At 34.2% G+C, this 25,866-nt stretch overlaps 1 long non-coding RNA gene across 1 annotated transcript in view; it reads right to left on the minus strand.

Annotated features, from left to right (window-relative positions):
• MIR4500HG (MIR4500 host gene) overlaps window positions 1-25,866 on the minus strand; it is a 226,977-nt gene that overhangs the window by 60,646 nt on the left and 140,465 nt on the right. The window contains exon 2 of the long non-coding RNA NR_033829.1: window positions 6,734-6,838. This is a non-coding gene — a long non-coding RNA (MIR4500 host gene). The remainder of the gene's footprint in view (window positions 1-6,733; window positions 6,839-25,866) is intronic.

The following is a 25,866-nucleotide window of genomic DNA, read 5'->3' on the forward strand; positions in this document are numbered from 1 at the left end:
ACAAATCTCCTTGTACATCTCCATCAGAGCTCTTGGGTAACCAAGTGCATGACAATGTAAGTAATATTGTCAATATTATTGTCAATGACAAGTAATATTGTGAAAATGAAAAGACATATTTTTTGAACTGTAGGTTTCAACAATAGGCCTAAAATATTCAGTAAACCATGGTATAAACAGATGTCCTGTCATTCAGGCTTTCTTGTTCCATTTATAGTGCATAGGCAGAATAGATTTAACATAATTCTCAAAGGCCTGAGGATTTTCAGAATGGTAAATGGCATTTGCTTCCACTTAAAGTCACCCGCTGCATTAGCCCCTAATAAGAGAATCAGTCTGTCCTTTAGAGCTTTGAAGCCAGGCATTGACTTCTCTTCTCTAGCTATGAAGGTCCTAGATGGCATCTTCTTCCTATAGAAGGCTGAGATGTCGACAGTGGAAATCTGTTGTATGGTGTTAACTGCCTTCATCAATGATCTTAACTAGACCTCCTAAGATAACTTGCTGCAGCTTCTACAACAGCACTTGCAGCTTCACCTTGTAATTGCATGTTATAGAGAGAGCTTCTTTACGAAACCTCCTGAACCAACCGCTGCTCTCTCCTGTCTTTTCTTTTTCAGCTTCCTCATCTCTCTCAGTCTCCAAGAAATTAAAGACAGCTAGGACTTTACCCAATTAGGACGTGGCTTTGGCTAAAGGAATGTTGTGATTTGGTTTTATCCTCTATCCAGACCACTACAACTTTCTCCATAAATAAATAAGCCTGTTTTACTTTCTCATCGTTCATGTGTTCACTGGAATGTCAATTTTAATTTACTTCAAGAAATTTTTTACCTTTGTTTCACAATTTGGCAATTGTTTGGCATAAGAGGCCTAGATTTCAGCCTATCACAGCTTTCAATATGCCTACCTCAGTAAGCTTAATCATTTCTAATTTTTGATTTAAAGTGAAAGAAGTGAAAGATGTCCAACTCTTCCTTTCACCTGAACATTTAGAGGCCATTGTAAGGTTATAATTGGCCTAATTTTAATATTGTTGTGTTTCAGGGAGTAGGGAGGCCTGAGCAGAGACAGAGAGGCAGAGAGAGAGAGAGACAGAAAGAGGAGAGGGAGAAAAGCAGCAGGGAGTGCAGCTAGTTGGTGGAGCAGTTAGAAGGCATACAACACACATTTAAGTTTGACATCTTATTTGGGCGCAGTTTGTTGATACCCCAAAACTATTACAATAGTAACATGAAAGATCACTGATCACAGATAAGCATAACAGATATAATAATAATGGAAAAGTTTGAGTTTTGTGAGACTTATCAAAATGTGACACAAAAACATGAAGTAGGCCCATGCTGTTGGATAAATGGCACAAATAGATTTGCTTGATCCAGGATTGCCACAAACCTTCAATTTAAAACATCACGTTATCTACAAAGTGTAATAAAGCTAACAGCAATAAAACAAAGTATGCCTGTAATTCTGTTCCTCTCAGGTGCTTTCTTGATGTGGGAATGAGCAAGACAGATAATTTGTATACATGGAGGTAAGGCAGGAAGGTCATCCTAGTCTTGATTTCTCAGCTATGTTTCTTGCTGACTTTTTTCTGTTAGTTGTGTGAAATCTGTATTTTAATGTCTATCAAATATTTTCCTAAGCAATTGATAACACGTATACTCTATAGCTGTATAGTTCCAAACTGTTTACATTGTTAAATATCAGTTTTCTCTCTCAGTGGCCAGGGAAAAGTGAGAAATTAAAAACAACCCTAATTTTAAGAAAAAAAAAGTTATTAGTACAGAAATACTCCTTGCCTCCACACACACAAAAAATGATACCTACAGTATGGTTGAAAAACTTTTCAGTTGAAAATTCTTAAAGACAGATCAAGGAGATTTGGGGAGAGATGAAGCAACTTAAATGCAAAGAATGTAAGTCAACATGTGAAAACATGAAAAAGTATGCCACCAAAAAGATACATAAAGGTGAATCCATCAGTTTTTAACTTGAACACTGAAAAAAAATGTACTTTTCAATTTAAATTTATTTCTTTCTTCCTAGATATGCTCATGTGTTTCTTTTTCATTCTGACTATATGTCCTATGTTGACGATAGCACTGACGTGGTCATTTGATTCTTTAGGTCACGGTAGCCCTATCTGGAGTATTTTCTAGTCCTTACCTGTTCACAGCCTGCTTTAAATTAGTCAAAAGGCAGCACCTTAAGGTAGGTAGCCTCTGGGACCACAGGTCTTTCTTCATTCGTTCTCCCTTCCCTCTTAAACCTTGTGGCCTATTGTGTTACTTTGTCTATTTCCCCTAGCTAGAGATCTGCTGTGATTAGCCAAATCTCCTGAAATCTGAATATCATGAGCCTGCCTGAGTCTCACCATTCTTCTCCTGAGCAAAAACACCCATGCATTTGGACGGCCCATATTCCCTGAAAAAGGAAGCTTCTAAATTGTTTCATCAGTTTCTGATTTTGCCAGATCTGGCATCCTTCCTCTCCTAGAAAGTTAATTTTGCTGAAACTCTTGCAAATACTTCTTATAATTCCAAATTTTGAAAATATGTAGTAACCCTTGTTGGCATAGTGATTGTCCAGTGCGATTTGTTGCACCCTGAATGTAATTATGGATTTTAGGTTGAAAAACACATTTTACTGGATAAAACCCATGATCTCCATATTAAATCTTACAAATTAAATCAGAATGCAACACAACTTATGGATCTAAATTTTATTATTATCCCTTAATACTCATGCCTAGGCACTTGCAATGTACTTTCCCCTTGTCAAGACCTTTCAGTTTAACCCTCTCAAATCTACCTATATTTAGTTATCACTACATCTCCTCTATACAATACTAACTTGAATCTTTTAAAAGATAGTTCTTTTTTCTGTAGTGGTCTTTCCAATCTCTCGACATACCTCAAAGCATCTTTCTAAAAATATTTTAGCCCATATTGTTTACTTCCTTTCCTGATCTCCTCTGTTAAATAATATTGACATGAAATGATTTCACTCTTAAAATTATCTGACAGTGCTATAGCACAGAGATTGTCATTATTTGGTTTTTATTTAACAGTTGAGGAAAAGTAGAAGTCAGGAATAATAAATGCCATTTTTTTCAGCAGATATTCATTAATCCTCATTTATTCAAATTAAGTTCACAGTATTTCAAATGTAAAATATTCCTGTGACAAGTTTATTGTGTCTTTTACTTACTCTGATTTTTTTTTCAGCTTTCATTGATGCAATCTCAACAGGAGACCTGCCTAGTACTGGAAACCAGTATCAGAACTTGAATTTGCTTTCCACGCCTGTGGAAATCTGTATTATTTTCATAAACATTCTCTGATTAGTTGAGGAGTAAATTTAGTATAATCTAGCACACAAAATTAAGAATCATTAAGTGATTTGGCTTATTACCCCAAAACTTGGGCAGAAATCATTTTATTATACTTATTTATTAAATACATGTTTAGTGCTTTTCATATCCCAGGCAATGAACGGGGTGCAGCAAATGTAAATATAAATAAGACATAATTCCTGCTTCTAAGGATTGTACAGTCTAGTGAGAGAGAGGGCATAAATAAAAATATTTATAGTGTTGTGAGGTAATTGCCAGTTGGTGCTTCTACAGTGCTGTGGGAGACACTGCATGAGAAAATGCCCTGTTCCTGATATGCTCACACCTCCCCACATGGAAAGCCCAAAATACAATCCTTTCCTGTGTAAATCCAAACCTCTGCGTTCTTAAAATTTGTGTGAACCCAAAAGGTTGAACTTGTCTTTCTTACTCTTCCATGTTCTTTTTCCAGGTTCCCTGAAACATCTTAGATACACAGTAAGTATTTTGTAAATATGGGCTTATAATACTTTATCTACAATAACAAAATATATGGAGTTTTCAAAATCTAGTATTTTTTAAATTATTTGACTCATTTGCAAATTGAACCTGAATTGAAATAACATGCTCTGTAATTGCTATTTATTCCTCTTCATGTGACTATCATGTCTTTTGGGTACAAAAATATTAATATATTTGATTATGAGGTGCTGCCTCAGAATTTATTCAAAGTGTTATGTAATATTTGGTATGAGATGGGCACAGTGGTGCATGCCAGTAGTCCCAGCACTTTGAGAGGCCTAGGAGGGAGGATTGCTTGAGCCTAGAAGTTAAAGACCAGCCTGGAAAACATGGTGAAACCCTGTCTCTACAAAAATCACACACACACAAAAATTAGCCTAGCATGGTGGCACACCATGTAGTCTCAGCTATTTGGGAAGTTGAGGTGGGAGGATCACTTGAGCCTTGGAGATTGAGGCTGCAGTGAGCTGTGATCGTGCTGCAGCCTGGGTGACAATGAGACCTTGCCTCAAAAAATAATAATTAAAAAAATTAGTATGTGCACTATATTAACTTTTTTGAAAAATATATATGTGAGACACATATAAAACATTTCAAATGTTTTATATATACATACATATATAGTGAGATCTATATATATCATTTCAAAGTGTTTGTGGCTTAAGGGGTCTCAGGAGATAAGAATCTGCATTCTTGTCTGTGATCCAGCATGAAGTGTAACCTGCCCAAGCAGACCTTTCTTTGAATATTCTTCAGCCGTGGCAACTCTTGCCACATCACTTTCTCGCTGGTTCACAGTTGTCAGTTTCAAATCGAGGATCAATTGCAAGGCAAGCCCAAACAGCATAGAACATTCTGAGCAAAAGGGCTGTTAAAGAAGGCAAAGCCCCAGGTATCTTAAAAATTGACTTGTAAGCCAAGAGTAGCCCCCTTTAGATGTACACAGACTGAAGTCGATAATATACGGACTCCTCAGTTTACTTGAGAAATATGGATACACATGGGAAAAGTATTTCCTTTACATTCAGTGGGCTTCAGCATGATGCTAAGGTGTGAATAAAAAGTTGGTTTTACAGACAGTCACTGCGTTTCCTCATCATCTTTTTTGTAATTATCACATTTTCTTCATCTCTGTCTATATATATTATAGATTAAGAAAATGAATTAACTTTCCATTTGGCAGTACATATATTTTATTCTAATATTTTATTTGAAGTGTTTATTTCAGATGTTAGAAAATTGGTCAAATCAAACTACTGTTCTTTCCGTATATATTAATACCTTAGAATTTTTCATAAATTATAAGTGAGATTCATAATATTAATCTGAAAATGTATCAATTCAGGAAAAATTTTTTTTTTGCTTTTGTCATCAGTGAAAAATTATAAGAAACTATTTTTAATGAACCTTGTATACACATAAATTATCTAGATCAGATTCTGTTTTTTCCCCTTTGTAATGAAATTTAAAGATTTCACTTTCTTTTAGCAAGTTACAACTACAATTTTTCTTTAGAAAGGAGAAAAACAGAACTCCTTGGATCCTTTAAGAAAAAATCTTGAGAATGCAGTTTCTTTTACCTCTTAATGTCTTAAGTTTCAATCATCTATTTCATTTTTACAGGACAAGAACAGCAGTTTTCGTTAAATTGCTAAGTTCTACCTAGTTCAATACATTTTCTACCTTAGGCCTTTCTTGAGATTTCTATGACTACTAAGTTGTAAAAAGAATAAAAAGAGACTTTTACTTCTCAGCTGGATGAAAACAAGTCATGGCACTCTGGCTTACTGTTGAACTCTAGCAAAGGGGTACAAACAGCAATTGTCTCTTGTGATATAATCTGACACTTTCCAAAGATTTTCAGGGTCAACTTAAATAGCAGCTCATTCCCTCGCCACAATCCATCAGAACTAAGCTTGAAATGTAACTTAAGTTCCTTCTAAATAATAAAAAACAAATTCATGAAAACTCAGAAAAACCTGCCTCAGTTTTTGTTTGTTTCTTTGTTTTGTGGACATTGTTTTGTTGTTGTTGTTGTTGTTCATTTGTTTCAGGTTTTTTAATAGAAGATATTATGGCAAAATATAAATTGGAAGGTAGAATTTAAAGTTCTTTATATATTTTATATGCTTTTAAGCTATCAATACTAAAGTCGTATTATTGACAAGAAACTTGTCACAATTTTAATGCTACTGCAAATAAAGCTAATGCTGCTTAGGATGTAAGAGAAGAAATAAAATGGGGAGGCTAAGTTAATAAAAGTGCTAGTGTAACATGCCCATCCAGGGTAGTCTGTTCTATATACCATGTGTTAAAGCACACTGTCACTTACCTTCAGAACATGCATCATACTATGTTACTATATATGAACTTATGGATTTTTTCTAAATATCTGCCTCCCAAACATGCTATAACTTTCCTAAGAGCAGAAACTGCATTTGAATACTCAAAACTGGATCAGTATAGTTCTTGATAGTACAGAATACACAGACAATAAATATTTTTTAAATGAATGAAAAGGTCCTGGGCAATTTTATCAGACTGTTATAAGATCTGTAATTTTTGTCATATCAGAGAACATCAGATATACTAAGTAATTTATTTTGGAAAAGGGAAGGAAAGGAGAAGGAAAAGGTAAGAAAGAAGCCATAGTCATTGGCAAATGTTTGAAGTTATTTTATATAAAAGATGAAATGGCCTTTTTTTTTCCAGTAAGCAGAACCATGATAATAGACTAGACATTACAGAAATATAGACTTCAGGTAAACAAGAGGAAAGATTTTTCTAAAAAGTAGAATTGTTTATAACATAACATGTTAATGAGAGATGTACCAAGCTGCTTAATAGAAATGTGAAGCAGAGAAAACTACTTACCCAAGCACACATAAGAAATGTTCCAGGATAGGTTGGGACTTTGTAGGAAATCATTTCTGAGATCATCCATGGCATTAATATTTTATATTCAGTTGATATTGTTATCTAATGCAAAAGAAGCAATTGGAATTATTATAATTTCCTAAAATAAGAAACTTTTAAAATCAACTGACATATTCAATAAACTTAATATTTTGTAGACTTCATACAAAACCGTAAATTTTTTTTTTTTCTTTTTTTTTTTTGAGATGGAGTTTTGCTCTTGTTGCTGAGGCTGGAGTGCAATGGCGCCATCTCGGCTCACTGCAACCTCCGCCTCTCAGGTTCAAGCGATTCTCCTGTCTCAGCATCAGGAGTAGCTGGGATTACAGGTGCATGCCACCAAGCCTGGCTAATTTTTATATTTTTAGTAGAGACAGAGTTTCCCCATATTGGTCAAGTGGCCTCGTCTCCTGACCTAAGGTGATCTGCCCGCCTTGGCCTATTTTACAATTTATATTAAATAACTAGAGTTGAAAAAGTAGTGTAGCACTGGAATTCAATTAGTAAATTCAAATGTATTCTGTGTTTAGTTAAAATCAGGAATCTTGCCTTGATAGTGTTCAAATTCAATTGTGAATGGCAAATCTTTGAATCTCACATCAGTTCTCTCTCTTGGATTTTTGAGAAGAGTCCTGAAGTCAGTCATTTTCTCCCACAGTGGTACCCTGCCTAATGCATTTGCTAATTGATTCTTTTCATTTACTTATTACTTTAAGCAGGTGACATTCACATACTATATTATGGCCTCTTATATGTGAAGGAAAAATAATTTCCTAACAATAATGCCTGTGTATACAACTGTACGAAGATGCTGCAGCAGCCTCATGTCATCATTCTGATCTGTCTTTCTGGAACTTGCATTTCCAAGACAGATTTTTGCCCTGCTTCTGCCACACAGACTTACAGTTTGCCAAAGCCTTGCTTCAAATTGACAACCTCATTTCGGAGGGATGATGATAGATTACACCTTTCATATTTCCAAGTCAACTTAATTTTCTTGGTCAAAATGCATACCAAAATTTTGGTGCTGGTGGCAGTGACTGTGAAGGCGGGGAAGGTTATATTACTGTTGACCAAACAGGTTGGTGCTCAAGATTTCAGCAAACCAGCAGGTAACACATATATCCTCACCCTGTTGAACTGGAGCATTGTCATGAGACTAAATTTCACAAGATTTAAACAGAATTGGACTTTGTCAGTTCCAAGCAGACAGTTTAATGAGCCAGTACATCGTTTCTACGTCCCTCTGCCGCAAACCTGTAATGTTCTATCCAGACACTACTCTGCCCACCTTGGACCTAAAGTAAAGGCACCATAGAACTACTACACAGGCAGTGGTCTCAACACCTGAGAATGGTGTTGAGTAAAAATATTCCTTTGTTGTGAGCCTCTGCAGTTCAGGGCTTACTTGTCACCACAGCACTTCCTAACCTATCCTGATTGATTCAGAAGTGTAAGGTTTGAGTTTTCTCAACTCAGAGATTTGAATGAAAGGAATTATAAACCAATCATGTCTGGCATTGAAAACAATGTGTAGAGGCAAAGTGGGCAGGTCTCCACGTGAACATGCAGAAAGAAGAGCACCAGGGTGAATCAAAAAGAACTCAGCTTCCAACAAGTCAAAAGAAACTTAATGTAAAATAGTTAATCACCTTGAATGGAAAACAGGAATTTTGCTAATTTATGTGGCTGATAAAATAAACCATAGAATAAATTTTGAGTAGAAGAGGAGAACATGTTGCTGTAGATAAAGATATTAGGATGAGGTTTTTGGCTTCAGAAACGGAGAGGAAGTGACAGCTTTTAAGGACAGGAACAGGAAGAAATAACAGAATTTTGAAATGTGTTGAACAGCCTGGATGTGGGAGAAAAAAAAAAGTAGGTTTGTTAGTGATGCCAAGGTAAAGTGATTGAAAAATGAGCATGCCACCAAATGGAGAGAGAGGAAAAAAAGAACACAGAAAGACAGATGAACACAAAAAGGGGAGAGGATGGCAGGTAACTTTTGCTTATACCCAAGCACTTGGCACAATGAGTCTAGTACAGTAATTTACATGGGGTCCACAATGTTCCTTCTCTCCTTTAGAAAAGAAGGAATGGTCACTATTTTGTATTACTTTGAAATAATTTATTTATTTTGTTATAAAGTCAAATTAGCATACCACTTGAATGAGTTCCATGTACATATAGAGAAATTAGTTTATGAATATGTGGAAATATTAAAGATAGAGTGAGGTAATGTCAAGAAAATCTCAATCTTTGTTATTTCTGACGAACCATTTCTAAAACATAAAAATGAAATAAATTAATGTTTTTAGACTATAAATATGAACTCATCTATATAGTTTCTCATGAGAATATGATAGTCTGTTTTTATTTAAAGATAAACATTGATGCTGCTTCAACCAAGAGAATGATAACCAGAGGAAGAAAATGCATGTTAAGGGTGAAAAAAGTAACACTAGAATATCTTTCTATGACAATGATATGCCAGTGATGAAAGTTAGAGCTATCACTGTCAGGGATTCCAAATCTTCTAAAAGGAAGCACACGTTTCAGAAACTTTTTCTGTTCTACTCATATTTGAGGCTAGGACTGCAATGATCATGAAACAAGAGCTGGAGACAGAGATGATTTCACAATTTCTAGCTGCATCATTTTCCTCTTTATTGTTCAGAAAACTGAGGAGGATAATAGAGTATGTGCAGATCATGAGGGTGCCTGGTGGCATGAGAAAGCAGCAATTTGGTCATCAATACTGGGATTTGAGATGCTAAGGTAAACTGGTAGGAGGATATATCCTATTTGGAGACATCTCCTTTAATCATTTATTAACCCATCAACAACTTTTTCATCAAGCAAGTACCACCTGCCAGGCATAACTCAAAATATGGGGGACATACAAGTACATAAGCCAAACAAAATTCCTTTATCTAGCAGGGTTTACAATCAAAATCAGAAGATAAACAATGAAAAAAATGCAAAATATAGCACATGCTGGATGTTATTGAATAATTTAGAAAAAAAATGGAAAAGATAAAATGAAAGTGTGTGGTATCTGGAGCAAAATTTAAAATATTTTGATCAGAGGAGGCTTTATCTGAACCATCTGAGAGATAATCTGCGAGGAACAAACACTTCGGGCAAATAGTAGTGACTGATATAATCAAGAATGGATTCCATGATGAGGCTTTCTAAATGGACTCAGGGAATTAAAGCAGTGGTTTTTCCCAGAGCACCAGACCCCAGGCTCCTTTGTACTCTTGTTGGTAGAAGGCCAGAAGGTAGAAAACACTCATTTCTGGAACATCCAGCTCACTCAAATCAAATAAAAATGTGGGACTTCCTTCTCACTTTGTCAGTTTAACTTCCTAATAAATGCGAATGTGAAGGTGTTAGCATTTTTTTAATGAAAATAAGTGTTTGATCTATGTTCTCACCAATTCCTTAACACAAGCCACTGTGGGAATCATATACCTGGTATACATGTCTGAACGAATAAAGTAGCGCTCATAAAGCTGTAGGTGCTTGGATGCATCTTAGATTACACACTAAAACTCTCAGCTTTGTTTGGGTGTCACCTAAGCATACATTCAAATACAAATACAAGAAGACAGTGACACATATCTGAATTTGGGTCTGAAGGTAGAAGTCACAGAATTTTCCTGTGAAACAATGAATGTGTAAATTAAGCTGCAAAAGCATTTGGGCAAGGGATTTTGTTGTTTTCTATCTGTTTTAATTCTCAATACTCCACTGTTTAGGTATACTTCAGGACTTTAAAAATATACATATCCCCTAATTCACATGCACTGTTCTTGAATCTTTTCAAACTCCTTCCTTTAAAAAATAATAAAAATGTTGAGTATTCTACATTTACATTTTAATATTAAGGATTTTTTAAATAAAAAAACATTTACAAATATTTAAAGCATTAGATTTATATCTATATTATTTTCTTGAATAATTGTTGGTTAATTTTTATAATTGGAATTTGTGGTAGGAAGTTTCTCTCAATATTTTTACTCTCTTATTTAATGTTTTGTGTTATTGCTGCAAAGCTAATTCCAAGTCAAAATCTATCATATTAAACAGTAGAATATAATTTTGACAATGTGCAATGTTTATATTTGAACTGATTATAGTTTTTGAAGGGAAATAAAATATAAAATCAAAAGTAAAATATACATAAAGAATAAAATATAAATAAAAAGAAAAAAAGGGGATACGTGGGCCATAGAATATTCTGTAGCAGGAATTCTTATTCTGCATTCTGTGAAATGCCATGTTTTGTAAGCAGAATTAAAGGGATCCCTGAACTTTTATGAGACAAACAGTATATCTTTATTTTCACTAACATTAATGGAAATTATTCTTCTCCTTATATATGAATATAGGCAGCAAACCACAAAATAAGCACTACATGACTTTCTCAAAATAGTATTCACACATTTTCATATCATATTGCAGTGATTGCAGTTGCCTTTTGTCATAATTTTCACTTGCTATTACCTTGAAAAAAATAATTAACAGCCCTCTCACTAGATCTTTTTATTTAATCTATTAATAAATAAGTATATGGATTGCTTAATCACAAATGTGTTTTTCTAATATTTTGATTACTATATTTCAATGTAATCTACTGTATTCTAGTCCAATGTGTTTTATACGTTTAATTTTTATTCTTAGTGGGGAACATGAGCTTCAAGAAATTGTTAAAAAGTCCAAGACACCAAAAAAATTACATATGGGCTTTGTCATATACATTTTTGAACTAAATAGGAAATCCTCAAAATGTCTGTCATATTAGAAAGTTCTCTTTTCTCTGAGAGTTGTGGTGGTACAATGAAAAAGCAGTCTATATCTTAACTTCTGTGAATTGCATCAAGGAAAATAAAAAATGCCTTTCATATTTCTGCAGTAAAGAGTCTTGTGCTAAAGCTTTATCATTACACTCACTAGAGGAATTCTAACTTCATACAATGCAGCATTTCCTAATGCAGTGCCTATAATATCTGTATGTGTGTTTGTGTGTGTGTGTATGTAGGTGCATGTATATGTGTGTATTTTTCATTACCCAATGAGATACTTGATTTCTTCCCTATTCTGATGCAACATTTTCTTTTTAAAATACATGAAATAACTTATTTAGAGACAATGCATCTTATTGAAGAGAAGCTAATGGCCTAAACATTTTTTACCTCATTTCCTCAGATTTTACAAAGTATGTTGCATAGTGAAAGGGAAACAAGATTTGATTTCATTCCCAATTTTGTTACTTACGAGTATTTTTATTTAAGTTTCCGATTTCCTCATAAAAATAATAAGCTTGTTTTTCACTTGCTTCAAGAGGCTGTTGTAAAGTTCAAATGAAATACAAATAAATGTATAGTAGAAGATATCTTTTCATTACTAACTAGCTTAATAAACAGATGTTCTCCATTCCCTTCTGTAGACTGTACCCTTCTGGTGGCTTTGGCTTTCTGAATGCCAGGGAACAACAGGCTCCTTGTCAGCCTAAGTTCCCCACAAGTTTCACTGGTGATCACCACAGAAGAATTTTTGTCAAATCTGTTGTCTCACTCATACTTGTTATTCAAATTACTCAACTCAGTTAACGAGTACACAAACCAATGGAATATAAATGTGAAAAGCAAAAGATTTGTGGTTTGGAAATTTGGAGCTTTTGGAAATTTGGAACTCTCTAATACAATTTTTAAACTATGTTATCAAACTGATTTTGTGTAAGAAAATATGAAAGTAGAAAAATAACTTGTAAACATCAACCTAGAAATTAATGAACTCAGATCATTTCCCATTTATCCTCATGTTCTAATATAAGTTTAAAGAATTTGAACCTGGATTTTGTATGGACTGCATTAGCGGTGTATTTTATTCAAGAAAGACAAGGGACTTCAATTCCCAGACTGCTAAGTTGGCTCATATATGGCTTTACTTACTCATCAGTACAACATTATTATTATTTTATGCTATGTGTTGGGCTCCCTTTTAGGTGCCAGGTATAATGAGATTAATAATACAAAATAACATTGTTATGAAACGTATATAACATTGTCGTTGACTAAGCAAGTAAAATATTATAGATTGTAACATACTTTCAAGTGATATAAAGAAAAATAAAGCTAGCTAAGGGATAAAAATGAGGTGAAAACCTTTTAAATAGATTTGACTGGAATGGCTTCTTTGCTGTGCTCATAAATGAGCTCAGACCTAAATTATGTGTCCTGAATTATTGAACGGGGAGAGACGATTTCTGGCAGAGGATATACCAAGTGAAACATCCATGTTCAAATATATTTGAGGAGAAGCAAAAAGTCTATTCCTGATGGAGTAATATGTGTTTGGAGGCGCTGAAAAAACATTGTGCTGATCATATGAGACCAGGTAAGGGCTTTGATTCTATGCTAAGTTGATGAAAAGTCCTTGGAATGTCTTAAATATAGGAATGTCATGATCTGATGACTTTATTACTTAAAAAAATGACGATAGTAAAATGCAAGTAATTTATTTTAAAATTAATGTATAAAAGTGTTTTAATTTAAAATATTATATTTAAGGAGATATTTATGTGTCTTTGCTATAATTGGTATTTATTTGTTCTTGAACAAATTAAGTAGATTTTTACTAAAAGTACTCACATATTTTATGAAAGTAAACCAGTATATTAATAGTAATAAAAACTGGTAAATCTTGAAGTTTTGCTATGTACAATGAATCTTACTTTGAATTTTAGAAACAGGTTTTAATCAAATCTTCATAAAAGTCCTATGAAAAAGCAATAGACTGTTTTGATTACATGTTTGACCTCTAGAATCAGATTGTTTAAAAATGTTTTACTGCTTTGTTATTTACTACTTGAACAACTCTATGCCTATTTATATATCATAGTCTACAGACTATCCTCTATAAATTGTGGAAAATATTAGTGCATACTCCTTGTGCTTTTTATAAGTGTTATATAGCATAATGTAGTACACAATCTGACACACAAACAATATTAGCCATCATAATTGTTCCCTTCCCTTCAAAAATGAAAAAAAAAATGTTTTAATTTTGAAATTTAGAAAGGTAAACTCCTCATGCAGAAGCATATAACAAATATAGTTGCCACATTAAGACATAAACTTGAGTCTATAGATTCTGAAGACCAAGCATCCTAATTAGTTAATTCTGCAGTAATTCTTTGGCTTTGAGTAATGCTTTCTACCTCATAAATTCTCACAGCATCTGGAACTTCAAAATTCATGGGTATCAGCAAAGAATGAATAACACAAATCTTTCTGCTTCCTGATGATTAGAATGACTTTGTAGCAGAAATGAACAGCCTCAATGTTTTTATGTTCAGTAAATTCATATATCATTCTTGTACAAATAAATGCACATTGCAAGTAACCAAATTCCTATCATAACCCATGACCTCATTATCAAAGCTCAATTTCTGAATATTGAGATAAGTGTATTAACTTAATGTAAGATTATGTGTTTCTAAAATAGGTTTGAAAAAATTATAAATTTTCTGAATATTGAGTTGAGATATCAAGAAATATCCCCAACAAAATTGTGAACATAAAACAAGAGTAGTTGTTCTAATCCTAAAGAGCAATATTTGTTTTTCAAACTACTATACAGAGTTTCTGTAATTTAAATAGACATTTTATAAGACAAATATGTTCAACCTTTTCAATTATATTGCCTCTGAATCCTATTATTTATATATACATGTTTTATGTATATATGTAATTTATACCTATTGTATAATATTTTGTTTTTTCTCAAAAAAATTCCAGATTTAAAGTTGTGTGAATTATTTATTTCCAAATAAAATCAGTAGCACATGGTGAAAATTTCTGAATTTCAATTATTTCTAATTTAGGTTAACTTTGTAATTGATATTTTTTAATATACTTATTTATTTTGGGAATGATTTTTTTTCAAGACAGTCTGTGATATAGATTTTGTTTGCCTTATCGTGTACAATTTTTGTTTTCAACTCAAATAATTAAAGATGGCTTTTTTTTAAAGCCTTGGAATCTCACTTTTCTGTTTATTCTAAGGTGTTAAAAACAAAAGAAAAAATATTGGGAAATGTATCTGCTCTGTATAACCATATGGAGTAATATATATAACTGGAATGTAATATTATTGAACATTATGCAAATCCTAAAGTAACATGCAAAGTTTATGATTATTTTTATATGTGCTAAGTGTAAGTCATACTGAAATATTCCTCTGAAAATAAATATTTTCCAGAAGGTATGCCTTAAATTCCTATTTTATTCAACAAAAATGCTACACACAAACAAGATCTTTCCAGTACTAAAAGATACAACATGAAGCTTCAGTAGTGAAAAAGCAGAGTTGAAAAATAAATAGATTCTGGGGTTTTCTTGTCATTATATTCAAATATATATACTAGTCATTTGAGACCTAAGCAAAATTCATATGAGATTTCTTTATATAAATAAAAATTTGAGAGACATGACTGTGATATTTTATATATCACACAAATTACACACAAGGATCTGTATTATTGTTATTCACATTAAAAGCTCAGTGGCAATTCTCTGGAATTTTAATTTCTACAAAAAATATTCTTAAGATTGTTTAGGAGTCTCTGCTTTCAATATAGAATTATAAAATAAGATACCTCAAGTAGTAATCCAAGGTATTGTTCCATACCAATTGCAAAGGCAGCTATATAATTAGCTAAACACACACACACAGGTATATATGCACATGTAAGTCTATGTAATACAAGTATATCACTAAATTAATTTAAGAATGCTTAATTTGTATTCAGTTTATATTACACAAATGTTTTATTTCACGGTTGCTATTTTACATCTCCTTACTGATATGGTTTATGTCCCCACCCGAATTGCACTTTGAATTGTAATAATCCCCATAAGTCAAGGGTGGGGCCAGGTAAAGATAATTGAATCATAGAGGTGGTTTCCCTATACTGTTCTCATGGTAGTGAATAAGTCTCATGAGATCTGATGGTGTTATAAATGGGAGTTCCCCTGCACAAGCTCTCTTGCCTGCCACCAGGTAAGACATGTCTTTCTCTTTCTTTTTCTTCCACCATGATTGTGAGGCCTCCCCAGCTATGTGGAAACATGAGTCCATTAAACCTCTTTCCTTTACAAATTAACCATTCTCAGGTAAATCTTTATTAGTGGCATGAGAATAGACTAATGTATAAGGGTAGAATCGGGTGCTGCTGTAAAGATACCCAAAAATGTGGAAGTGACTTTGGAAATGGGTATCAGGCAGAGGTTGGAATGGTTTGAAACTCTGAGAAGACAGAAAGATGTGGGATGTTTCAGAACTTCCTAGAGGCTTGTTGAATGGCTTTGACCAAAATGCTGATAGTGATATGGACAATAAAGTCCAGGCTGAGGTGTTCTCAGATGGAGATGAGGAACATGTTGGGAACTGGAGCAAAAGTGACTTTTGCTGTGTTTCAGCAAAAAGACCAGCAGCATTTTGTCCCTGCCCTAGATATGTGTGGAACTTTGAACTTCAGAGAGATAATTTAGGGCATCTGGCAGAAGACATTTCTAAGCAGCAGAGCATTCAAGAGTTGACTTTGGTACTTTTAAAAGTGTTCAGTTTTACGTATTCACAAAGATATGGTTGGAATTGAAACTTATGTTTAAAAGGGAAGCAGAGCATAAAAATTCAGAAAATTTGTAGCCTGATGATGTGATAGAAAAGAAAAAGCCGTGTTCTGAGGAGAAATTCAAGCCCACTGCAGAAATTTCTATAAGTAACAAGGAGGCAAATGTTAATTTCTAAGACAATGGTGAAAATGCCTCCAGGGCATGTCAGAGGTCTTCATGGCAGCCCCTCCCATCACAAGCCTGGAGGTCTAGGAGGAAAAAATGTTTTTGTGGGCTGGGCTTGAGGCCCCCATGCTCTGTGCAACCTAGGGACTTGGCACCCTGTGTCCCAGCCACTCCAGCCATGGCTAAAAGGGGCCAAGGTAGGCATAGCTTCAGAGGGTGCAGCCTCTTCCAAATGGTGTGTTGAGCCTGCGGGTACACAGAAGTCAAGAAGAGGTTTGGGAAATTCCACCTAGATTTTAGAGGATGTATGGAAATGCCTGAATGTCCAGACAGGACAGGGGTGGGGCTCTCATAGAGAACTTCTGCTAGGGCAATGCAGAAGGGAAATGTAGGGGTGGTGCTTTGACACAGAATCCCCACTGGGGCACTGCCTAGTGGAGTTGTGAGAAGAGGGCCACCATTCACCAGACCCCAGAATGGTACATCCACTGATAACTTGCACTGTGTGCCTGAAAAAACAGTACACGCTCAGTGGTAGCCTGTTAAAACAGTCAGGAGGGGGCCAGTACCCTGGAAAGCCACAGAGACGGAGATGCCCAAGACCATGAAAACCCACCTCTTGCATCAGCACGACCTGGGTGTGAGACATGGAGTCAAAGGAGGTCATTTTGGAGATTTAAGATTTGACTTCCCTGCTCAATTTTGGTCTTGCTTGGTGCCTGCAGCCCTTTTGTTTTGGCCAATTTCTCCCATTTGCAACAGGTGTATTTACCCAATGCCTCTACTCACATTGTATCTGGGAAATAACTAACTTGCTTTAAATTTTACAGGCTCATAGGCAGATGGGACTTGCCTTGTCTCAGATGAGACCTTGGACTGTGGACTTCTGAGTTAATGCTGAAATGAATTAAGACTTTGGGGGACTATTGGTAAGGCATGGTTTGTTTTGAAATGTGAGGACATGAGATTTGGGAGGGGCCAGGGGCAGAAAGATATGGGTTGGCTGTGTCCTCACCCAAATCTCAGTTTGACTTGTAATAATCCCCATGTGTCAAGGTTGGGGCCAAGTGTTGAAAACTGATTCATGCAGGTGGTTTTTCCCATACTGTTCTCGTGGTAGTAAGTCTCAGGAGATCTAATGGTTTTATACATGAGAGTTCCCCTGCACATGCTGTCTTTCCCAGTGCCATGAAATATGTGGCTTTCTCCTCCTTTGCCTCCCACCATAATTGTGAGACCTCCCCAGCCATGTGGAACTATGAGTCAATTAAACATCTTTCCTTTATAAATTATGCAGTCTCAGCTATGTCTTTACTAACAATGTGAAAACAGATTATTGCATTTACCTAATATTTAAGTTTGAAGTTTATAAGAAATGAATAGAAGACAAGTAGAGGATAATCTGAAATTCATAAAGACCAGAAATAAACTCATTGTCACTCTCTCTTTCCCTGCTCCCTTTGCTAAATTCAGTCCCATTACAGATTACAATATGTAGGTTTTCAAATAATCTGGAAATGTTAATAGGTTAGAAATTACTGCATTCATCACTATGGCCCCTATGCTTTGTGCTGTGTGTAAGCAAACAATGGTGCTAGTGTATACAAGAAGAACACAAAAGAGTAACTAGAACCATATTAGTTTAGTAATATTCCATTCTTAAGCATTTGAATTTTTCTTGGCATCATTATAAATAATAATCTAACAAGATTGAAGAAGCACAGTCCTTTCTCTTTGGGAACTCAAACCTTATACTGAGAATTTAACCAATTTATGTTAAATTTTAAGGTAGTACCTGAGACTTTGAATGAATAAGAAATGAAATCTTACCATGTTGAAGCCATTGATATTGAAGTGTGTTCATTATGCCAACTATCATTGCTTGTAAATATTTCTACATAGCCATAAAGCCACAAACTAAGGGAGAGAAAAGGCGTCTAGTCACTGGGGACCCCTCTGGTCTTCCCACTAGCTCTGAGCTGCAGATCCAATACTTCTGGGCATGTGAAACAAATAATCCCCTGAGTTATTGACTTGCTTAAGCCATTTTTGTTAGGATTTTCTGTTACTTGCAGCAAAATGCAATCCTAATTGATATGCTCTCATGAATGGATAGATAGAAGATAGATGTATGGATAGATACATAGATAATAGATAACCATCCAGGTTGAAATATAAACAAATTAAAAATTATTTTATTAACAATTAGTGGATCAGTAAGGGAGAATTATATGTCTTAATTATTACTTATCTACTATATCTTGTAGAAAAGTAAGTGGTGCATAAAGATAATAATACATTTTTTTATACATCTTGTTACATTGTAAAAAGTTGTTTGGTTAAAGTTCACTTTTGCCTGGTTTTTCCCATTTAGAAACTCATTCTGTAGGCAATTTTATAAGAAAGCATCCCTTGACTATAATTGAAAATATTAGAGTTGTTTAAAAGTTAGCATAATAATTCATTTATTTTGGGTTTGGGGGAAGTTATAACTTGATGCATGCTAATACAAAAAACTTCCTGTGATTTCCAAACTATATTGTGAAGATTGATAAATATATCCTTCCACACAAATTTAAATTAATTTTTAAAATAATTGATAAATTATTCTAAACATTTGTTTGAGCTAAACTTATGATTAATTCCTATAGTAAGTAAACAACCCATTAAGAACTTATGACTGGATAACTAAGTTTTCTGTATTCCAATTGGGACCATTATGACAAAGAAGAATTTAATAACCTAAAATTTAAAACCTATAGTAGAAATAATAGCAAAAAATAAAAATGCATATAATAAAGTCAAGAGCCTTATCTTATTTTTGTAATATTTCTAATCATAAGCTATTTATATTCCTATATGCTTTAGTAACATGACTCCTTAATAATATGGACAAATTTTAGCAAAATTATATTAAGCTTCTGCTGTGGACATTAATAGATATTCAAGGAGTCCTTGATAAGATATTTAAAAAGGCATTGATAATGCATGCAAACTTCAACTGTTTTTGAAAAATAGTCAACATTTCTATTGAATGAGATAATAAAGGAGACTTTTACAAAGTATAATAGTTTCTTCAATTTGATGAAGAATTAAAAATTAATCTTCTTATAATATTTAATTTACTGTGCAACATCACATATATTGCATATGACTGCCAATATATATTTCATATTCTGCATACATTTCATGTAATTGTATATACTGAAACTTACAAATCATAAAAATGATATTACAAAGTTGTACCGCTACTAAAGAAGTACATTTATAATGTTATTTTATAATTAGGATACCATTAAATATATCAGATATATTCAATACTCCCTTGTGAAAATCATATCAACAGCTTCCTAAAATACATATTCAAATATATATGTTTTATAAACTAACCGTTGTATCTCAATACCAGGCAATACATCAGTCAATAGCTAAATAGTCATCAAATCACTTAACCAAGTATAAGATAAAGTACATCACAAAGTATACTTGCTTTAGAATGAGCGGGGGAGTAACACTATTATCACTGTCATTTAACTGAATCACTACAGATGAAGAGAAAGTGAGTATTTTAACAATCATGCCTATTTATTATTTCCACTTTATTATTCAGAGAAAAATGGATAATATCTCTGCCAATTCTAAAAGTGAAGTATGTTAAATAGTATGAGGTTACTGAAACAACTAGAAATGTAGATATGAGTAGGAAGTGGCTAACCGAGTATGTCTGTCATGAAAATTATTTTCTATTGACATCATCACTATTCAGTTTAAGAGTCATATTAAGGATCAGAAGTATGATCTTCGGTTTGTAGATGATGGCATTGAGAAGTACAGAACTGTGATTGATTCTATAACTGATCAGCACATATTCACTCTCTTTCAGCTACGCCACTAGAACAAAAATACCTGAAGCCAACTGAAACTAAGCTGAGATTTGCTGCCTGAAAACAAGCCCAGCCAATCCCAGTGAAAGCCAGCCGATCCAATGATAAAAACAGAGCCTCAGCCAATATCTACACCAATGAATGGAGAAATAAATGTTCATTGTTTAAACAACTGAGTCAGGATGTTGTATTTCAGAGTATTATTTTGACAAGAGCTGATAAATACAGAAATTGATACCAGATATAGGGTGCTGATAGTAATGTGTAATGAGGAAACCCTTTTAAGAGGCTGAGAAAACAATGGCATCTATTATGTAGAAATATGACTTTTGGTAAAGATTGTCATTTCACTAAGTGGAAAAATTCTACAAATGTATCTAGTAAATTAATTTTCTTTTATCAAAGAAGTTTATAGGTAGACCTTTAATAGTGTGAACTATATTTGATAAGATATAACAATAACAAACCTGATAGGCTTAGAAAAGGACAAGCCAATTTGTCAACAGAAATGTGAAAGAGCAGAGAAAGATAAGAAACTGAATAGTAATTAAAATTATTTCTAACCAAAGTTGTGACCATTAAAAAGTAGCCGCTAGAAAAAGACTAAATTCAACATGAGATCACAAGACATGCCATCAAGACAAACATAAAATCAGAGACATGTAAAAGGATTAAGGTGTCTTTAATAGGCTAATTGTCCTACACATTATAGTTTTGTTTGTTTGTTTGTTTGTTTTAGATGGAGTTTCACTCTTGCTGCCCAGGCTGGAGAACAGTGGCACGATCTTGTCTCACCACAACCTCTACCTCCTGGGTTCAAGAGATTCTCCTGTCAGCCTCCCAAGTAGCTGGAATTACAGGCATGCGCCACCACACCTGGCTAATTTCTTTGTATTTTTAGTAGCCACAGGGTATCTCCATGTTGATCAGGCTGGTCTCGAACTCCCAACCTCAGGTGATCCACCCACCTCAGCCTCCCAGAGTGCTGGGATTACAGGCGTGAGCCACCGCACCAGTCTCACATTATGTTTTTATCCAAATTACCTGTAGTCAAGTCTAGACTGAGGCAAAGAAGAAGGTAGACAGACAGGTAGGCAGGTAGGTAGGTAGGTAGGTAGGTATAGTCACAAATCAAAGTGTGGGTATGTTTTTTGGAAAATGGAATTATGTAAGATCATACATAGAAAACTCACCACATATTTCAGACAGCTGTGCTAATGAAAGCACCCACACCCTGGATTAAAAGAAACTATTTGAGATGAAAAAGCATAATGCATGTGCCACCAGTATCATACTTGTAATTGGACTAAAAGAGTCTCAAGTTGCCAAGGAGGGAATAGTCTCCAGTTATTTCCTCTAAGGAGTAAGAACAGGAGAGACATCCTGGAAAGCGGAGGCAAATACTGTCAATAATATTGAATTTGGGACCTGTTTTGAAACAAGAAGAAAGAATCCTAAACCAGTAAACTATCTAAACAAAGGGTAACGTGAAAACATTTATCCAGTTGCCATATACCACTGAATTCTATATGACTCAAATGATTTCCGTTTTCAAATATCACAATTCCACCAGTTGTTCTGAACCTCCTTTATTTTCTTTTTTCATAATTGCATGTTTCATGTATGTTTTTGTTTACTGGTCTCTGGAGCAAGAAAAGCTACATTCACACTTAGTATGTTCTCAGTATTCTAGAATTTTAGCCTAAGGCTATAAATAAATGAGACTTTTAATGATGCATAAGGAAGGTGTGTATGTATATTTTACACGCAAGAGGAAAGAAAGAGGATGTTTGTGAACAAGAGTTTGGACTGCAATAACACAAATTACTCTCCAATAAATAGTCCCTCCTCTTCAAGAAGCAGCTGTATTTCTGAAAGTATGATTTTCCACTTAACGTAATTATATGTGTGTGTGTGTGTGTGTGTGTGTGTGTGTGTGTGTGTGTGTGTGTGTTTGTAATGAGATATGTGTAGAAGTGGCATGAGCAGAAGTTTTAAGTGAAGTTTGTAGTTTGGTTAACTTTCTTTTGCTGCTCTGGTCTGCCATAAGAGCATGCTCTGTGTAGCTTTGGCCCCTTAAGCCTAAACAGTCTTGAAAAAGACCTGAATCCATATCAACTGGAGCCAAGCTCAGGCATGCCTAGCCAAGCCCAGCTAAATCACAGCCTGGAGCAAAGCTGCTCCAAGGGAACTGCAGACAGAAAGCAAGAAAAATAAATGCTTTCAGTATAAACCAGTGGGTTTTGGGGTGGTTCGTTACATAGTATAATTGTGCCAATAGCTGATTTAAAATGACAAAGAATTTTTTATTCTCTGTGAGGTATAATCTATTTAATGGTAAAACTAAGGTAATACCTGAGAATTCCAGGATTAAACTCTTTATTAAGTGTTTATTTTGTTATATTCTACTATCTTTAGTTAGAAATAAACAGACTGATTTTTGTGGGCATAACATTTCCCTTAAAGAATATGTCATGATGGAAAATGTATTATTGTAATTATTAATTCACTTATTCAAAATAATGTTTTATTTATTTCATCGGTCTCAGTCTGTTTTGTGGGGCTTATAACAGAATGCCACAGACTGGGTAATTTACAATGAACATAAATGTATTGGTTCTTCATTCTGGAATCCGGGAAGTCCAAGATCAAGGGGCCCGCATGTAGCAAGGGCTTTCCTGCTAAGTCATCCCATAGCAGAAGAGCTAAGGCAGACTGAGAGAGAGCAAGAGCTCAAACATGCAGCCCCAAACCCTTTTATAAGTGGCATTTATTCATTCTTGACGGTGGAGCCCTCATGCCCTAAATGTTTCCCTTTAGGTACCATCTCTCAAAAAACTGGATTAGGGACGAAATATCCAACACATGCTTTTCGGGGACACATTCAAACCATAGCATCATCTAAAGAAAATAGACTACTATTGTGATTATATGGCCATTGATAGTTTAAGTTTGTGGAATAGGGTAAAGTTACACTAGAACATGTACTTAACATAGACATTTTATAATACAGAATTATGGATCCTACAACTTAAAAGAGCATTGTAACAGATGGAGATTGTGGTACAATTATTTTTAGAATTGGCTTGCAATGTTCATTTTTGGAAATACTAAATACTGTTATGACTTTCTGCTGCAAAAAAAATAGCTACATAGAAATTATTTTTCTTTCTTATAAAAATAATTCTTAACTTATTTCATAAAAGATAGTCATCAGCACAGTATTTTCATTTATATCCTATCTAAATTTCGCATTGGCTGTATTTATATCTCTTATCTAAAATGTCTTAAAATGATATCTCAAAAAACAAATTATCTCCATAAAGTACAATTTGAAATAAGTCTCATTAGATAGTGGCACTGAATTGGGAATTCTTGTTTAAACTGGGATTAAAGAATGTGAGAAAAAATGAACCTTTAAGGTTGATTGATCATCCGTGCATTAAATATAATAGTGCAAGCACAAATAGTGGCTTGGAAGTCCTTATCATCCATGCCATTCCGCACATCAAACCATATTTTAAAATATGAAACACTGATACCTCCTCATGCTTATATGCAGTCTGAATAAAAGTATCTTCTATAACATTGTTATTTTTGCTGAACTGAAGCCTATACTCCAAGTAAAAATAATGTGACTATATTGAAAACTCAAATTAAAATCTGTAGTAATCCCTTGATGTCCAGATCTATGACCCTAAGTCCATGTGACAAAGAAATCTTATAGCCTTTAATTGGTATAAAGTTTGAAGACCCAAAGGCAGGGAAAATATAAATAATGGCTGGCATTACATTCTAGGATAGTTAGAGTTAAAGAAGAATTAAAGAATATGTTTTACAGATATATTTTTAGGGCCTAAAGATCTATATGAAATACTATTGTTTTATTGGCATGGAGAAATATTTAAGTCTTTTGCAAGGGGACAAAATCATCAGAATTATACATTGAGGGCTGAGGGCAGTGGTTCATGCCTACAATTTTAATGCTTTGGGAGGGCTTAGCAGGAGGCTTGCTTCAGGCCAGGCTTTCATGACTAGCCTATGCAACGTAGCTAGACCTCTTCTCTACAAAAAGTAAAAATAAACATCAGCAGGGTATGGTGTTGCATGCCTATAGTCCCAGCTACTCAGGAGGCTGAAGCAGGAGGATCACTTCAGACCAGGAGTCCAAGGCTGCAGTGATCCTCCTGCTTCAGCTTCTGAGTGGTTGGGACTACAAGCATCACACCACTACACTTGAGCCTTGGTGATAAAGTGAGACCCTGTCTCTAAAACAAAACAAAACAAAACAAAATAATTGAAGAAAGAATTGTACATTGGGATATATTGTATATTGGGATAGCTTGTGACAAAGTGCATGATACATTTGTGGATAAAAACTGGATGCAAAGGGACCAGGAAGAAATTGATCACTATATAAGGGCAACTGAAGAAGGCATAGTGGATCTGACAGTGTAAAGAAGGAACAATGTAAATGTTGTAATTAACAGAACATGTCATAGGAGGAGAAGAAAGAAGTAGAAGAGAGGAGGATGATATTGGGAATCTCAGGTAACTTGATTCACAAAGGCAAGATGAAATTGGGATATGAAGGCAATAGAATGTTTATGAACAATTACTTTATTTGTATATTTCTCAAACATCGATAATACAAATTAATTTTATGTCAAAAATTATCCAGGATTTTAAAAGTAACTTATTGATGTTTTTCATGCATCCAAAAATATTAAACTCCCTCAAATATTTTGTAAATATGAATTTAAGCCATATTGTAAGTTATTATAATTTATGAGATAAAATATTCATATACTGATTGTCTTAAATAATATTTAAATTCATATAGACTAAAGTAACTTTTACAAGTCTTATTTTACATCCTAGTTATACATTTCTTCAAATTAAATGTTTAATAAGAAAAATTCCGAAGTTGAAAATTATGAGTTTTAGATAAGATTTGATACATTAATACTAATTCTGTTTCAATTTGCCTTATGGTGGCATATTTCAATTAAATCTATTTCAAGGACCAACATGAGGCTGTGGAGAAAAGGGAACCCTAGCACACTTTTGGTGGGGCTGTAGAGTTGTACAGTCATTATGAAGGAGTATAGAACTTACTAAAGACATTAGTAACTACCATACCGAAGACATAGAACTACCATATACATACCAATCCCCCTTTTGGGTCTATATCAAAAGGAGATATTCACCACTGTTTAAAGATATCTGCTCTCCCATGTTTATTGCAGCATTATTCACAATACCCAAGATATGAGAACAACCTGAATGTTCATGGACAAGTGAATGGATAAAGAAAATATGGGGTGTGTGCATGTATGTGTACACCTACAGGAAATGAAAGGAAATATTATGTGAAATTATTATTATATGAATT

The sequence above is a fragment of the Homo sapiens genome, chromosome 13 (assembly GCF_000001405.40).
Source record: "Homo sapiens chromosome 13, GRCh38.p14 Primary Assembly".
NCBI classification, from domain to species: domain Eukaryota; kingdom Metazoa; phylum Chordata; class Mammalia; order Primates; family Hominidae; genus Homo; species Homo sapiens.